The 19,415-nt window shown below is 34.3% G+C and overlaps 1 long non-coding RNA gene across 2 annotated transcripts in view; it reads left to right on the plus strand.

Annotated features, from left to right (window-relative positions):
• LOC105377227 (uncharacterized) overlaps window positions 1-17,655 on the plus strand; it is a 34,908-nt gene extending 17,253 nt beyond the window's left edge. The window contains exon 3 of one of the 2 annotated variants that reach the window (XR_001756054.2): window positions 17,561-17,655. This is a non-coding gene — a long non-coding RNA (uncharacterized LOC105377227). Of the gene's footprint in view, window positions 1-14,503; window positions 15,134-17,560 lie in introns of those variants that run through there. The other variant, XR_001756053.2, reaches the window with a different exon arrangement.
• The last annotated feature ends 1,760 nt before the right edge of the window (window positions 17,656-19,415 follow it).

A 19,415-nucleotide genomic window follows, 5' to 3' on the forward strand; every position in this document is an offset into this window, starting at 1 on the left:
ACCTCGCAGCTGAAACACTGGAAGCCAGAAGAGATTGGGGGACAGTATTCAACATTCCAACCCAGAATTTCATGTTTGGCTGAACAAAGCTTCATAAACAAAGGAGAAATAAAATCCTTTTCGAACAAGCAAATGCTGAGGAAATTTGGTGCCCCCAGACTGACTTTACAACAGCTTTTGAAGGAACCACTAAATATGGGGAGGAAAGACCATTATCAGTCATTAAAAAAACACACTGAAGTACACAGACCATTGACACTATAAAGCAACCATATAAACAAGTCTGCAATATAACCAGTTAACATCATTATGACAGGATCAAATCAACACATATAAATACTAACTTTAAATGTAGATGGAATAAATGCTCCAATTAAAAGACTCAGAATGGCAATCCGGATAAAGAACCAAGACCCATTGGTACAATTTCTTCAAGAGACCCATCTCACATGCACTGACACAGAGAGGCTCAAAATAAAGGAATAAAGAAAAATCTACCAAGCAAATGGAAAACAGAAAAAAAGCATAATTTGTAATCCTAGTTTCTGACAAAATAGATTTTATATCAACAAAAATAAAAAAAGACAAGGGAATTGCATAGTGACAAAGGGTTAAATTCAACAAGAAGAGTTAACTATTCTAAATATGTATGGACTGAAACACAGGAACACTCAGATTCATAAAGCAATTTATTAGAGACCTACAAAGAGACTTAGACTCTCACACAGTAATAGTGGGAGACTTTAACAACCCAGTGACAATATTAAACAGATAATCAAGACAGAATATTAATAAAGATATTCAGAACCTAAACTAGATCAAATGAACCTTATAGGTAACTATGAAACTTTCCACCTAAAAACAACAGAATATAAAATCTTCTCATTGCCACATAGAACATACTCTACAATCTATCATATAATTGGAGTTAAAACACTCCTCAGCAAATATAAAAGAGCTATAATCCTAACAAACAGTCTTTTAGACCACAGCACCATTAAATCAGAAATCAAGACTAAGAAATTTACTCAAATCCCTACAATTACATGGAAATTGAATAACCTGCTCCTAAATAACTTTTAGATAAATAATAAAATTAAGGCAGAAATCTTTGAAATGATGAAGACCAAGCTACACCATACCAAAATCTCTGGGACAAAGCAAATGCAGTGGTGAGAGGGAAATTTATAGTGTTAAATCTCCACATCAAAAAGTTAGAACGATTTCACATTAACAACCTAACATCACAATTAAAAGAGCTAGAGAGCCAAGAGCAAACAAATCTCAATGCTAGTGGAAGACAAGAAATAACTGAAATCAGAGCTGAACTGAAAGAGCCAGAGACACACAGAAATTCCAAAGATCAATGAATCCACGTGCTGTTTTTTTTAAATAAAATATATAGACTGCTAGTTAGAGTAATAAAGAACAAAAAAGAGAGAAGATTCAAATAAACACAATCAGAAATAACAAGGGACATATTACCACTGACCTCACAGAAATACAACCATCAAAGAATATTATGAAGACCTCTATATGCATAAACTAGAAAATACAGACAAAATAGATGAATTACTGGATGTATACACCCTCCCAGGAATGAACCAGTAAGAAAATGAATTCCTGAGAAGACCAATAACAAGCTCTAAAATTGAGTCAGTAATAAATAGCCTCCCAACCAAAGAAAAGCCCAGGACCAGATGAATTCACAGCCGAAATTTGCCAGAAGTATAAAGAAGAGCTGATACCATTATGGCTGTAAATATTCCAAAACTATGAGGAGAAGGGACTCCTCTCTAAGTCATTCCATGAAGCCAGCATTATTCTGATATCAAAACCTGGCAGAGATACAACCAAAAAGAAAACTTCAGGCTAATATCCTTGATGAATATAGATACAATAATTCTCAACAAAATACTAGCAAACTGAAACGATCAACACATCAAGATGCTTATTCACCACAATCAAGTAGGCTTTATCCCTGGGATTGAAGATTTATTCAACATATGCCAATCAATTTATGTGATTTAGCACATAAACAGAACTAAATACAAAAAACACATGATTATTTCCCTAGATGCCAAAAAGGCTTTCAACAAAATTCAACATTGATTTATGTTAAAAACTTACAATGAAGTAGTTATGGAAGAAACATACCTAAAAATTGTAAGAGCCATGTATGACAAACCCATAGCTAATATCATACTGAATGGGCAAAAACTTCAAGCATTTCCCTTGAAAACAGGCACAAGACAAGGATGCCCTCTCATCACTCCTATTAAACATGGTATTGGAAAGGCTTACTCAGGGCAATCAGGCAAATGAAAGAAACTATCCCTGTTTGCAGATGACATAATCCTATATGTAGAAAACCCCATAGACTCAGCCCAAAAGCTTCTTAAGCTGATAAACAACTTCAGCAAAGTCACAAGATACAAAATTACTGTGCAAAAATTACTAGCATTCCTATACATTAACAACAGTCAAGTCAAGATCCAAATCAGGAATCTACTCCCATTTACGATTGTTACAAAGAGAATAAAACACCTAGGAATACAACTAATTTGGGGGGTGAAAGATCTCTACAAGTAGAACTATAAAACACAGCTCCTTGAAGTCAGAGATGCTACAAATAAATGGAAAAACATTCCATGCTTATGAATAGGAAGAATCAATATTGTAAAAATGAACATACGGCCCAAAGCAATGTATAAATTCAACAATATTCCTATCAAACAACTCATGACATTCTTCTCAGAACTAGAAAACACCATTTAAAAATTCATATAGAACTACAAAAAAGCCAGAATAGCCAAGGTAATCCTAAACAAACCAACAAAAAATCCCCAAAAAACAAAAAACAAAGCTGGAGGCATCACGCTACCCAACTTCAAACTATACTACAGGGCTACAGTAACCTAAACAACATGGGACTGGTACAAAAACAGAAACACAGACCAATGGAACAGAATAAAGAACCTGGAAATAATATTGCACACTTACAACTATGTGATCTTTGACAAACCTAACAAAAACGAGCAATGGGAAAGGGATTCTGTATTCAATAAATGGTGCTGGGATAACTGGCTAGCCATATGCAGAAGATTAAAACTGGACCCCTTCCTTACACCATATACAAAAATTAACTCAAAATGGATTAAATACTTAAATGAAAAACCCAAATCTATAAAAATCCTGGAAGATAACTTAGGCAGTACCATTCAAAACATGGGCACAGGTAAAGATTTTACAACGAAGTCTTCAAAAGCAATTGCAAGAAAAGCAAAAATTGACAAATGGGATCTGATTAAACTAAAGAGCTTCTGCACAGCAAAATAAACCATCAGCAGAGTAAGCAGACAACCTACAGAAAGGTAGAAAATTTTTGCAAACTATGCATCTCACAAAGGTCTAATATCCAGCATCTATAAGGAAGTTAAACAAATTTACAAAGAAAAACCTCATTAAAATAGTGGGCACAGTACATGAAAGATACTTTGGAAGAGAAGACATACATGTGGCCAGCAATCACATGAAAAAAAGCTCAACATCACTGATTATTAGTGAAATGCAAATCAAAACCAAAATGAGATAGCATGTCACACCAGTCACAATGGCAATTATTAAAAAGTCAAAACATAACAAATGCTGGCATACATATACAGTGTTGTTGGGAGTGTAAATTTGTTCAACCATTGTGGAAGACAGTGTGGCAATTCCTCAAAGACCTAAAGACAGAAATACCATTCAACCCAGCAATCTCATTACTGTCTATATACTCAAAGGAGTATAAATCTTTCTATTATAAAGACACATGCACACATATGTTCATTGTAGCACTATTCACAGTAGCAAAGACATGAAATAAACTTAAATGCTCATCAGTAATAAACAGTATAAAAATAATGTGGTACATAGACACCATAGAATATTATTCAGCCATAAAAGAATGAGATCATGTCCTTTGCAGGGACATGGATGGAGTTGGAGGCAATTATCCTTAGGAAACAAATGCAGGAACAGAAGACCAAATGCCACATGTTCTCATTTCGAAGTGAGTGCTAAACTATGACAACATGTGGACACATAGAGGGGAAAAAAAACACAACGGGGTTTTTCAGAGGGTGGAATGTGGAAGGAGGGAGAAGATCAGAAAAATAACTAATGGATACTAGGCTTAATACCTGGGTGATAAAATAATCTGCACAACAATCCCCTATGACAAAAGTTTACCTATGTAACAAACTAGCACTTGTACCCCGGAATTAAAATAAAAGGTAAAAAAATACTACAAGACCTAAAAAATGAGGTAGATAGCAACAAAATAGTAGTGGAAGACTTCAATAATCCACTGGTAGCAGTAGACAGATTGAGACAGTCAACAATAACAACAACAATGACAACAACAAAATGTACTTAAAACTACACTCTACAATAAATGAACTTAACAGATGTTTATGGATCATTCTACCTGAGAACTGCAGAGTATACATTCTTCTCACCAGCACTTGGAGCACTCTTCAATATAATCCATATAATTGACCACAAAACAAGTCTCAATAAATTAAAAACATCAAAATCATATCAAGTATATTTTCAGACCACAGTGAAATAAAACTGGAAATCAACTTCAAAAGGAACTCCTCAAACTTTACACATATATGAAAATTAAACAATTTGTTTCTGAATGATTTTTGAGATAAAAAAATTAAGATGAAAAATTTTTTAAGTCTTTGAAATGAATGATAATAATGATACTGATTACCAAAACCTCTGGGATCCAGCAAAAGCAGTGCTAAGAGGAAAGTTTGACCACAAATTGACAATCTAGTGTCATGCCTCAAGGAACAAGGCAAGAAAGAACAACCTAACTCAAAGCAAGCGAAGGAAAGGAATAACAAAGATCAGAGCAGAAGTAAATGAAATTCAAACAAACATAAAATACAAAAGATCAATGAAACAAAAAGCTATTGTTCCTTGAAAAGATAAACAAAATTGATAGACCATTAGCAAAATTAGCTAAGAAAAGAAGAAATTCATATAAACTGAATTATAAGTGAAACTGGGGACATTCCAAATGACACCACAAAAACACAAAATATCATTTGAGACTGCTATGAACACTATTATATACACAAACTGGAAAACTTAGAGGAAATGGATAAATTCCTGGAAACGTGTATTAGTCTGTTCTCACACTGCTGACAAAGACATACCCAAGACTGGGTAATTTATATAGGAAAGAGGTTAAATTGATTCACAGTTCCACATGGCTGTGGAAGCCTTACAATCATGGTGAAAGGTGAATGAGGACTAAAGTCATGTCTTACACGGTGTCAGGCAAGAGAGCATGTGCAGGGGAACTCCCCTTTATAAAACCATCAAATCCTGTGAGACTTATTCACTATCATGAGAACAGCATGGGAAAAACCCACCCCAATGGTTCAATTACCTCCTATTGGGTCCATCCCATAACACATGTGAATTCTTACAATTCAAGATGATATTTGGCTGGGGACACAGAGCTAAACTACATCACTCCACCCCTGGCCCCTCCCAAATCTCATGTCCTCATATTTCAAAACCAGTCATGCCTTCCCAACACTTCCCCCATTGTCTTAACTCATTTCAGCACTAACTCAAAAGGAACTAACTCCACAGTCTAAAGTCTCATCTGAAACAAGGCAAGTATCTTCCACCTAGGGGACTGTAAAATCTAAAGCACATTAGTTATTTTCTAGATACAATGGGGGGTACAGGCATTGGGTAGATACATTCATTCCAAATGGGAGAAATGGGCCAAAACAAAGGGGCTACAGGCCCCATGCAAGTCCAAAATCTAGCAGGGCTGCCAAATCTTAAAGCTATGAAATGTTCTCCTTTGACTCCATGTCTCACATCTAGGTCACACTGATCCAAGAGGTGGGTTCACATGGTCTTGTCAGTTCTTCCCTGTGGCTTTGTAGTAGGGAACAGTCCCCATCCCAGCTGCTTTCCTGGGCTGGTATTGAGTGTCTGAAGCTTTTCCAGGCACACAGTGCAAGCTGTAGGTGGATCTACCATTCTGGGGTCTGGAAGATGGTGGCCCTCTTTTCACAGCTCCATGAGGCAGTGCCCCAGTGGGGACTCTGTGTGGGAGCTTCAAATCCACATTTCCCTTACACACTGCCCTAGCAGAGGTTCTCCATGAGGGCCCCACCCCTAGAGCAAACTTCTGCCCAGACATCCAGGTGTTTCCATACATCCTGTAAAATCTAGGCAGAGGTTCCCAAACCTCAGTTCTTGATTTCTGTGCACCTGCAGGCCCAACACCATGGGGAAGCCACCAAGGCTTGTGGCTTGCACCCTCTGAAGCAATAGCCTGAGCTGTACATTGGCCATATTTAGCCACAGTTGGAGATGCTGAAATGCAGGAGACCAAGTCCCTAGGGTGTACAAAGCATGGGGTCCCCAGGCCTGGCCCACAAAACCATTTTTTCTTCCTAGGCCTCCAGGTCTGTGATGGGAGGGGCTGCCATGAAGGTCTCTGACATGCCCTGAAGATATTTTCCTCATCATATTGGTGATTAACATTTGGCTCCTCATTACTTATGCAAATTTCAGCAGCTGGCTTGAATTTCTCCTCAGAAAATGGGTTTTTATTTTCTATCTTATTGTGAGGCTGCAAATTTTCTAAACGTTTATGCTCTGCTTCTCTTTTAAACATAAGTTTCAATTCCAAACCATATGTTTGTGAATACATAAAATTTATGATTTTAACAGCATCCAAGTCACCTCTTGAACTCTTTGTTTCTTAGAAATTTCTTCCACCAGATACTCTAAATCATGTCTCTCAAGTTCAAAGTTCTGCAGATTTCTAGGGAAGGGGCAAAATGCCACCAACCTCTGTGCTAAAACATAGCAAGAGTCACCTTTACTACAGTTCCCAACAACTTCTTCACCTCCATCTGAGACCACCTCATCCTGGACTTCATTGTCCATATCATTATCAGCATTTTGGTCAAAGCCATTCAACAAGTCTCTAGGAAGTTTCAAACCTTCCCACATCTGCCTGTATTTTTCTGAGCACTCCAAGCTGTTCCAACATTTGCCTGTTAACCAGTTCCAAAGTCACTTCCACTTTTTGGGTATCTTTACAGCAGCGTCTTACTACTCAGTACAAATTTACTGTATTAGTCTGTTCTCAGGCTGCTAATAAATACATATCCATGATTGGGTAATTGATTGATAAAGGAATGAGGTTTAATTGATTTACAGTTGCACATGACTGGGGTGGCCTCACAATTATGGCAGGAGGCAAATGAGGAGCAAAGTCGTGTCTTACATACCAGCAGGCAAGAGAGCATGTTTAGAACTCCCTTTTATAAAACCATCAGATCTTGTGAGAATTTTTACTATCACAAGAATAGCACGGGAAAAACACACCCCCACTATTGATTCAATTATCTGCCACTGGGTCTCTCCCACAACATGCGGGGATTATTACAATTCAAGGTGGGATTTGTGTGGCGACGCAGAGCCAAACCATATCAACATGTACCCCCCTAGATTATATCAGGAAGATATATAATCTCTTAATCTCTTAGAAGATTAATAACAAGCAGTGAGATTGAATCAGTAATAAAAAATTACCAACCAAAAAAGCCAAGGCCAGATGGAATTAAAGCTGAATCCTATCAGGTGTTCAAAGAGGAATTGGTATCAATCCTACTAAAACTATTCCAAAAGATTAAGAAAGATGGAATCCTTCCCAATTCATTCTATGAAGCCAGTATTACTCTGATACCAAAATCAGAAGAGGATATAACAAAATAAGAAAACTAGAAACCAACATCCTTGATGAACATACATGCAAATTCTCAACAAATTACTAGCTAGCCTAATCAAACAGCAAACCAAAAAGATAATATACAATCATCAGTGGGTTTCATCCCAGGGATGCAGGGGTGGTTTAACATACACAAGTCAATAAATGCAATACTCACATAAACAGAATTAAAAACAAAAACTATATGATAATCTCAACAGATACAGAATAAGCATTCAAAAAAATCCAGCATCCCTTTATAATAAAAATCCTCAACAAACTAGGCGTAGAAGGGACTCAACTTAATTAATAAAAGTCATATGTGACAAACCCACAGCCAACATACTGAATGTAGTGCAGTTGAAAGAATCCTTTCGAAAACTGGAACAAGACAAGGATGGCCACTTTTACTACTTCTATTCAACATAGTATTTGAAGTCCTAGCCAGAGAATTGAGGCAAGAGGTATAAATAAAAGGCATCCAAATTGGAAAAAAGAAAGTCAAACTATCACTATTAGCCAATGATATAATTATATACCTAGAAAACTTTATAGCTTCCTCCAGAAGACTCCTAGATTTCAAAAACGAATTCAGCAAAGTCTCAGGTTACAAAGTCAATGTACACAAATCAGTAGCACTTCTATACACCAACAATGATCAAGCTGAAAATAAAATGAAGAACTCAATCCCTTTTACAATAGGTGCAAAAAATAAAATAAAATATCTAAGAATATATTTAACCAAGAAGGTAAAAATCTCTATAAGGAGAACTACAAAACGTTGCTGAAAGAAGCCATAGATGACTGAAACAAATGGAAACACTTCCCATGCTCATTGATTGGAAAAATCAATATTGTGAAAATGACCCTACTGCCCAAAGCCATCTAGAGATTCAATGCAATTCTATCAAAATACCAACATCATTTTTCATAGAACTAGAAAAAAACAATAATCCTTAAAATTCATATGGGACCAAAAAAGAGCTCAAGTAACAAAGGCAAATCCTTAGCAAAAAGAACAAATACAGAGGCATCTCATTACCAAATTTCAAGTAATACTACAAGGCTGTAGTTACCAAAACAGCATGGTACTGGTATAAAAGTAGACATATAGACCAATGAACAAGAATCGATAACCCAGAAATAAAACTAAATACAACCAACTGATGTTCAACAAAGCATACAATAACATAATTTGGGGAAGAGACACCCTATTAATAAATGGTGCTGGGAAAACTGGCTAGCCACATGCAGAAGACTGAAACTGTATTCCTATCTCTCACCTTATAGAAAAATCAACTCAAGATGGATTAAAGACTTAAATCCAACACCTAAAACCATACAAAATTTTAGAAGATAACATTGTAAAAACTCTTCTGGACAGTGCCCTAGAAAAATAATTTATGTCTTAAACCCCAAAAGACAATGCAACAGCAATAAAAACAAAAATAAATGGGACCTGATTGAATTTAAAAGCTTCTGCGTGGCAAAACAAATAATCAGCAAACAGACAAAGAATGGGAGAAAACATTTTCAAACTGCATCCAGCAAAGGACTAGTATCTAAAATCTACAAGGAACTTAAACAAGTCAGCAAGAAAAAGTCAAATAATCCTATCAACAACTGGACAAATGACATAAATAGGCATTTCTCAAAAGAAGATATGCAAATGATGAAAAAATGTATGAGAAAAATACTCAACATCACTAATCACCAGAGAAATACAAATTAAAACCACAATGAGGTACCACCTTAGTTCTGAAAGAATGGCCATTATGAAAAATTCAAAAACAATAGATGTTGATATAGATGTGATGAAAGAGGAATGCTTATACACTGGTGGTGGGAATGTAAATTAGTGCAATCTGTATAGAAAACAGTGTGGAAATTCTTAAAGAACTTAAAGTAGATCTACCATTTGATCCTGCAATCCCGCTACTGGGTATCTACCCAAAGGAAAATAAGTCATTATCAAAAAAAAAAAAAACATGCATGTATATGTTTATTGCAGTCCAATTCACAATTGCAAAGATATGGAACCAACCTAAGTGGCCATCGATCAATGAGTGGATAAAAAAATGTGGTATATACGAACAATGAAATACTACTCAAATAAAAAGGAATAAAATAATGTCTTTTGCAGCAACTTGGATGGATCTGGAGGTCATTATTCTAAGTGAAGTACCTTAGAAATGGGAAACCAAAAACCTTATGTTCTCATTTATAAGTGGGAGCTAAATTATGAGTACATAAAAGCATACAGAGTGATATAACAGACTTTGGAGATTCAGAAGGGGGAAGGTAAAGGGCAGGTGTGAGATAAAAAAACTACATATTGGCTACAGAGTACACTATTCAGGTGATGGGTACATTAAATCTCAGAATTCAACACTATTTAATTCATCTGTGTAACCAAAAACACTTGTACCACAAAAGCTATTGAAATAAAAAAAATAAAAGAGCAAAATAAATAAATAAGTTAATTAATATTATCTTAAAGTGAAATAAACAGCGTGAATGCAAGGTACAGGTGAAGAAAGCAAAGTTTTAAGCATCAATGTAGAAAAATATAGCTCTGATTACTTTAATTTTAAGGTAGAGGGTGTTGATAATGAACTTAACCACAAGGAGGCAAGAAGGAGAATTTACAAAAAAGAAAAACAGAGTATGGGATAATAAGCCAAGGCAGAAATATTACAAGAGTGATTTACACATACTTAGTTTCAGGGGTCAGGGCAAGGAGAAGTGAAGTCAGCAAGATGTCATTCTTGTCCTTACCTCTTCTCTTTAAAGCTAGTAGAGGGAGAGTGATAGCCCCCTTCTGCTTTTGGCACTGGAACAGGAAAGCTACAGGAGGAACAATGTAAAATTCCAAATAAACTCTTCTGATTTTGAAATGTGGCTATATGCAGATAAAGTTACTATTCTCTGAATGAACAATTCAAATATCTAGGAGACTTGCATTTAGCAAGTACCTTAAGTGCTATCCTGATTTAATTTGTCATTCTTATTGTTATTACTATAATAAATCACTTGAAATGATTCTTGTATGTGGAGCAAGCAAGTATCCTTTATCCAACTTAAAAAGGATGGGAAGTTTATAATCAAAAGGATAAATGTTCTGAGTTGTAAGAAGAATCATTGTGAAAAAAAATAAGATTAAAAGAAAAAGAATGGATCAAAGTGTTCTTTACATATGCTGTTTTTATTCAACTGAAAATTAACGTATGTTGGGAAGATACCTTAAAGTCAGTTCTGTATATTTATCATCTGGCTTGTGTTTAATTAAATAAAAATCAGATTATCCCTTTTATTTTGAACTGCAAGATGTTCGTGTTGTCTCTAAAGTATTTGGCCGCTTCCCCAGAATGACAACTTTCATTTTGATATTTGTGGTGAAGGAGAACAAAAGAAAAATTGTCAGTCTCAAATGATGATTAAAAAAATTAAAATTATACCTGATAATGAGTAAAGTTTCCTAAGAGTCACAAGAAAATAAAGTTTGATACTGTCTTAAACAAATATCAGGAATTAACTAGGGCAACCAAGACCAGATACATAATTTGTGGAGCCCTGTGCAAAATGAAAATGTGGGGTCTCTTGTTAAAATTTTATTAAGAGTTTCAACACAGCAACAGCACAACATTAAGAAAAGCTCAGGGTCCTGATGATAAACACACAGATTGTATACTCACAAAGTCAATCCTGGGGGAAAAGTAGTCTTAATAAAGACTTCATTTTTAACCGTTTATTATTAAAGAATTATTTAATTATAGCACAGTAATTGCAAAGATGAAAGGTCTTATGTACCCTGGAGTAGTCCGTTCTCATGCTGTTAATAAAGACTTGCCTGAGACTGGGTAGTTTATAAAGGAAAGGGGTTTAATTGACTCACAGTTCAGCATGGCTAACTGTGAGGGAGTCCTCACAATCATGGTGGAAGGCAAAGGAAGAGCCAAGTCACATCTTACATAGCATCAGGCAAGAGAGCATGTGCAGGGGAACTGCCCTTTATAAAACCATCAGATCTAGTAACACTTTTTTACTATTATGAGAATAGCATGGGAAAAACCTCCCCCCTTGATTCAATTACCTTCCACCAGGTCACTCTCACAACACATGGGGATTATGAGAGCTACAATTCAAGATGAGATGTGGGTGGTGACAGAGCCAAATCATATCATAACCTTTACTCAGTTTCCTCCAAAGGTTATATCTTACAGAATTATAGCACACAATCAAAACCTGAATATTGACATTGGTACAACAAATTTGTATAGTTCTATACCATTTCCTTACATGTATAAGTTCAAGTAACCATCACTGCAAAAAAGACACGGAAATATTCCATTACCACAAAGGTCTATCTTGTGTTCCTCTTTGAAGTCACACCTTCCTCCCTGCTTACCATTGTCTCTAAGCCCTGACAACCACTGATTTCTTTTCCATGTTCATAATTTTTTCATTTCACAAATGGTATATGCATAGAATTATATTGCCTTAGTCAGTTGGAGCGGCTTTAATAAATTACTATAGTCTGGGTGACTTAAACAGCAAACATTTATTTCTCATGGTTCTGGAGCCTGGAAGTATGAGATCAGTATGCCAGCCTAAACAGGCTCTGATGAGGGCCTTCTTTCTGGCTAGAGAGAAATATTTCAAATATCTTTCTCTTTTTATAAGGGTGCTAATTTAATCATGAGGATTCCACCCTCATGACCTAATTAGCTCCCAAAGACCTCACCTTGAAATCTCATCACATTTAGGTTTAGGGTTTCAACATATACTTTTGGGGAGGGGCACAAACATTCAGTCCAAAGCACATATATTATGTAATCTTTCAAAATTTGTTTTTTTCACTCAGTGCAATTCTTTGAAAATTCATCAAAGTTTTGCAAATATCAATAGTCCATTTATATTACTGACTACTATTCTGTGTTATGGATATACTATCATTCTATGGTTTCTTTAGCAGTGAAGTCTAATTCAGAAGAACATCTGAATTTTTCCCAGTTTTTGGGCACTATAAATGAAGCTGCTATGAACAGGTTCTGTGTAGACACAAGTTATCATTTCTCTAGGGTACATTTTCAAGAGTGTGATTGCTGAACCATATGCTAAGTGAATGTTTAGTTATTCAAGAAACCACCATACAAATTTCCAGAGTGGCTGTGACATTTTACATTTCTACTAGCCATATATGAAAGATCTAGTTTCTTCACATATGAGGCAGCATTGGAGTGAGATCAATTTTGAGGGAAAGTGAGAAAACAGGGAATCCTGTATTTGGTAAATGAGTTGAGTTGTTTAAATGTGGTATCTAGAACTTTAAAATATTAGTCAAGAAAAGACAAGAGGGAAAAGCTTCATATAAAAGAAAAGATCACCAGAATAAGGAAAGTCTCAAAGGCACTTTACCACAAATTTTTCCTCTGAACTTTATAGGTATATTCACCCGTTCTATGGCTTTTAAACAGGGATAAGTAAAAGGCATAAGTTTCTGCATGGCTCTTGCATCATGAAATGCATTCTTTAATACCATTTTCACTTTGAATAAGTTTTTTGTAAAAACGTATTGTGTATTCTTATGGTTAATGATACTTGTCATTCATTTGAATTGCTGAGTCTAGAAATCTGACTGCATTCTATTATCCAACTGGTCACCAGATTTATCAGTTCTACCTCCATCATGTCTAGGTAATTATGGATCATTTCTATTGCCACAGCTTCTTAATTCTTCAAAGTTCCAAATGCTGAAGTCTATTTGCTCTACTCACACTGTTGCCAGAGTTGACTTTCTTAAGCATAAAACAATTTCTGCAATTTCTGTGCTTAAAAATATTTGCTGACTCCTGAATGTAAAGTCTTAACTCAATTACATGGAATTCAAAAGCTACACTAATTTGTTATAATTCTCAATCTTCTCTTTCTATTTCTAATATAACATTTTAAAAGAGTATAGTTGTAGATCATCAATGTTACAAATTCATGCTATAGTTCCCCTTGTTCTTTCTTTCCTCTGCTCTCTTTCTTTGAGGTCTTACTTTCATTTAATGCTTTCTTGAATTATATGCTCTTCATTGAAAGCTCCAGGTAAAATTAACAATCCCTTTCCCAGATATATGTTGATAGTCTATTCATCGTACTAACTACACCATAAAATTGTAAAATTGTTATATACATATAATTCCTCCAATAGATTATAAATGTCTTGAGAGTGCAGACTGTGCCTTACATCATTGTCCCCACTCCCAGTACTGGTGAAATACTTGGAATACAAATGCAGTAAATGGAGATTGAATTGCATCCTATCAGAGAATGGGAAAAGAGTATCAAGCAGTACTTCCAAAACTGCTAAAAAAAAAAAAAAATAAAATGGCAAAGAGTAAAAAGGCCAATTAAATATAATATTTTTCATTCTTAAGGAATAATGAAATATTAGAAAAAAATGTTATGTGAAAAATGCTCTTTCTAATTTCATTAATCTGATAATTGGCTCTTCACCTTCCTTTACCTAGTTAGATAAAGTCACAGACTTATTATTGTATAAAATAAGAAATACAGTTTTTAAAAACTGATATATTAATGGGGAAAATATAGTCCAATGTTTCTTTTGAAAGCTCAAATTATACATGTATTTAAATACTTCCCAGTTTTTATTTAATTAATTCATCAGTTAATGTATTCATTTCACAGATTGCTGTTGAATATCTTTAATATATCAAAACCTGCAAGGTGCTAGACATACAAGGTAAATACAAAGTCTCTATCAAAGAATTTAATAAGAGATTGGAGAAACAGACACTTAGAAACATTTACAAATCACCATGAATGGAACAATGTACGCTAGTGTTGTGGGAGAGGAAGTTTTGAAATACTTCCACAGAGAGGATGATACTCAAAGTGGGTATTGAAGAATGCGAAGAGTTTCTGGGGATAAATGAGAACATAATAAGTAGAAGGAAGAACATAAGAAGCATGGCATTGCAATGGTGACTGACTTAGGGCTATACTGTCTTAGACTTGGAAGTGTAGCTAGGGAAGTAGGATTATTGTTGTGAATATGCATCCTTATATGGCATATTTTCCTTATATTTGAGAATTAAAATTGTTTCTTTGAATTTCAATAACAGCCTATTCTTACAAACATGTTTTGTTTTTCTATCATTGATTAGAGTCATTAATAAAATTGCCTACAGCTTTAAAATAATTGTCTATTTATTTTAGCTCAACAGCTTCGTATAAAATGGTAAAGACTAAGGTAGCATCAAGTATGGATACTTACCAAGATATTGTTTTATATGGGGAAAATGTAACATAACCCAAGTTCAGGAATAGGAACAGTGATGCATTCTCATTTAGATGCAATTTAATGACGCAGTTTCTCACTAAGCTGATTATTCACTGCATTTTCCCCTACAATTAATCTGGCATACTAAGTTAAGGCACATTATACGAGGTTACATGCCAACACTTTTGGAATTCTTAAAACACTGCAAAGTAATCTCAGGGAAGAATTTTAGCTCCCGGTACATATAAAATAAAAGTTAAGGGAATAATTATTTTGCATCTATGAAGTACCGTGAAGAGTTAGCTTGGGCCATATGTGTCAACTGTTTGCTAAAACCAGATTTCTCTTTCACATGTAACTTATTTAACTCTTTAGAAGTGAATACTTGGAAGGACACAAGCAAATAATTCACAAGTGATGAAACTAAAATAGTCCCTATATAAAATGTCAATATCTAAAGAAATATATATTAAAAGAAGAAAAGGAACAATTCCTTCAATTACTAAATTATCATGTTTTGTTCATAATAATAATAGCCAAAGCTGGTTGATGTAAGGAAACCAAGTGATACTCTTGTACAGTTTTGGTAAGAACATATTTGTGCAGTCTTTCCGGAAGGAAATTTAGTAACTGCCTTAAAAACGTACTTTTCTTTTACAAGCTATTCAATGTTAAGATTATATTCCGAAAAAATAATCAGAGAAGTGTTTACAGACAAGTATACAAAACTATATACTGTAGTATTTTTCACAGCATAGAAAGTTAAAGACACTTTACATGTTCAACAACTGTGGATTAATTACATCCATAATGACAAAGAGATAACGTACAGTATTTAGAATTGTAGTTTTTAAGAAACAATGTGAAAATGAGAAAAAATACTAGCAACAGTAAATATAACATGAATAATAAACAGCAAACACCATTTTAAATGTGAATGGTAAAATTATGGAAAGATTACTAGTTATAGCTCTGCTTATTTTATTCTACTTTAGTAATTACCTGAGTTTATTAGAGTTCATTAGATACTTTAGAGTTGATGTGCATTACTTTGGTACATAGTAAACATACTATAAATATTTAGAAAACCAACTGATTTATTGTTTTGGTAGTATTTTATTTGCTGAACTATAGGCGTAGGGAAATCTACATGTTGTTGTGGAATCTTGTTATAGTACCTTATGTGACTGCTTAGTAAGTTCTTTGTGCCCATTTGAAATCAATAACTACAGTTGAAGATACTCTGTATGGATTTTCCTTATTAGATAAGTATCTGCATACAGGGGAAATTTTGCAATTTATTTTTTATCTAATGTACATATTTTAAATTCTGCTTGCCTTTTCTCCTTTTATCAGAACATGAAAATGAAAAGAAACATATGATCTGACAGCTTCTCCATAAGAGGAAAATCCTTAATAGCTAAATACTTGTTCAAAGTATTCCTTGAAGCAATCTCCATTTTTTTTCACGGTTATGGTCATCAAGATAAAAAACAAAACAAAACAGAAAACAAGTTATTTTGCCTTTAAGTCTCCAAAACTGGCTGTATCCTCAACTTCTGTTTGCATATGCAGTTACAGTCTCAGAATTTCTCCAACTTAAAGCAAAACGTAGAAGCAAGATAAGACTATTGGCTTAAGAGATTGAAAAGAAAGGATGGAGTTTCCCATTTTATTTAGAATTCAGATTCTTTTTGAGCCATTACTGTCCATTTCTCTTGGTGTCTACCCAATGGCCTAATGTTTAACTATGCGAGACATTCCAAGTCTATTTTATACACACACACACACACACACACACACACACACAATAGTGCTGTGTTCTGAATGTGTGTGTCCCTGAAAAATTCATATATTAAAATTTAATCCTCAATGCAATAATATTAAGAGGTATGGACTTTGGGAGTTGATTAGATCATGAGGACTCTGCAATCATGAATGGCAGTTGTGCTCTTGGGAGCTTGGGGGCCCTTTTGCCACGTAAGGATACAGCAAAAGGCACCATCTATGAAGAAGAGAGCAAGCCTTCACCAAAAATCTGCTAGTATATTGATCTTGAACTTCCCAGCCTCCAGAACTGTGAGAAGTATATTTCTATTATTTACAAATTACCCAATATAGAGTATATTGTTATAGCAGCCCAAATACAGTGACACAATAGCAAAAACTTACATTAAAATTATTCTTAGATTTGATCTAGAAAATACTGCTTTGCTACATATAAGAAAACAAATATACCAGATTACCAAGAAAGATACTTGATTATGGATTTTCTGACTTCCAACTTGGGGCTCTTTCAGTGATACGGAAGTGAAAATTAAAAATAAGTGTGAAGTACTAAAATAAATTCAACAGAAAAACACCCCCAACTCCATTGCAAGCTAGCTCACATAGTCTGAGAAAAACAATGCTAAACAACATATATGTTATTTTGTTTTGTTTGCTTATATCTTCTGAGATAGAAAAAATCCAAATCTGTTGTTCTCCTTGTCTTGGAGCTGACCCTTTCCAGCAGATGATATCACCTCTAAGGTAACTAAGAACAATGATTTCTTATGGAAGTTAAATCAAGACTGTTCCTATCAAAAATGTTGAATATTAGAGAGAAATGCAGCAATAATATATGGAGTTTAGTAATATGATGGACAGCTCTGTAATCATATTAGTTTCAAAATATTTAATATAGTCTTTTCCAAATATGATATAAGCAGATGGATAGACTAGCTGTGTACTTTCATTGCCTCTGCTTTACTGATGCAGAACTCTTAAAACAAGCTTCCAAATATTGTTGGTTCTTTGCTTATTGAGTGTGAAATTGAAAGCAAAGCAAACCAAATGCTGTGACGTATATCCATTTTCCATCCTCCTTGGTCTTGGAAATCAATTATTATTCAAAATTACCCTTTATAATCAAAATTATTTGTATAACAACTAATATGCCATTATCTTAAACTAATATGATCACATTCTTTTTTTCTTTTGTTTTTGGTAGAGATGGGAGTCTCACTGTTTTGCCCAAGCTGGTCTTGAATTCCTGGCCTCAAGTGTTCCTCCCGCCTCAGACTCGCAAAGTGCTGGGATTACAGGCAGAAGTCACTGCTCCAGGCCACATTATTTTTATGATTATTATGATTAATACTTTTAAATAGTTGTACTTTGGGTTCTTGGGAACCCAGAGAAATAACATTCTTCACAAAGTTAGTTCAAAGGATTTTTTAAAGCTTAGTGCTACCGTTCTAAATGACTTTTTAAAAGAAAAGCATTCAGTATTTTAAGAAACATATAAATTGAATTTTGTGATTATCTGAATCGGTGTTTTAGTTAGCAATGTAATGAGAGTAAAAGTAACTAAACATTAAACTTTCTAATAGATTTCAGTTCAATACTAATACTACAGGGTTGATGCTTGCATTTCTTAGAAAGAGCAGGAAAATAAATATATATGTATATTTAATTATAAACAGAAGGCAGAGTTAGTTTACAACATTTAAAAAAAATCTAGATTGCATACTTTAATTTTCACCATGCAAAAAGTTGGAACTTGTAACTTCCAATGAGTCAATCTTTGGCTATTTTTCACAATCCACAAGTCCATGGTTTTTCTATAAAATAAGCACTAGTAATAAAAATCACAGGACACTATTTAATATGTTTGGTTGTATTATAATATTGAGAATAATTGGAGGATAAAATACTTTCTTTTAAAACATCACCTTTTCAGTGTCTGTTTCAAAAATATAGAATAAATTTAATTTTTAAAATTCTCTAAGTTTTCTATAACATCTTGAAATCATTTGTGATACTGTGATGCCACAATACCAGAGTGCCCCAGACTAAAATAAAACAAAACAATCAAATATACAAACATAAAAATAAAACCAGCCAAGTACATATGGGTGAATATGGTATTTTTATAGCATTAATTTATGGGGTAGTTAGACATTTCTTTTCTTTTTGCCATTCGTGGGGTGTGAGTGAATTATAGATGATATAAGAATGTTGGTATATTGATAATCATTGAATCTGGATGATGGTATGTGGAGGTTCATTATGCAATTCTGTCAACTTTTTCTACATTTGAAATTTTCCATAATGAAAGTTGAAAAAAAAAACAGAAACAAAACAAACAAATGAAAAACACCATGAAGTGAAAAGACAAGCCACAAGGTAGATGAATGTTTTTGCAATAAGAATCACTAAAACAAGATTAGTATGCACAGAAAGATTCGTATGTAGACTATTTAAAGAACTGCCATAAATCAACAAGAAAGAACAATCCAGTATATAAAAAAGTAGCTCATATTTAAGCAATCTCAG

Source organism: Homo sapiens, chromosome Y, assembly GCF_000001405.40.
Source record: "Homo sapiens chromosome Y, GRCh38.p14 Primary Assembly".
Taxonomy (NCBI): domain Eukaryota; kingdom Metazoa; phylum Chordata; class Mammalia; order Primates; family Hominidae; genus Homo; species Homo sapiens.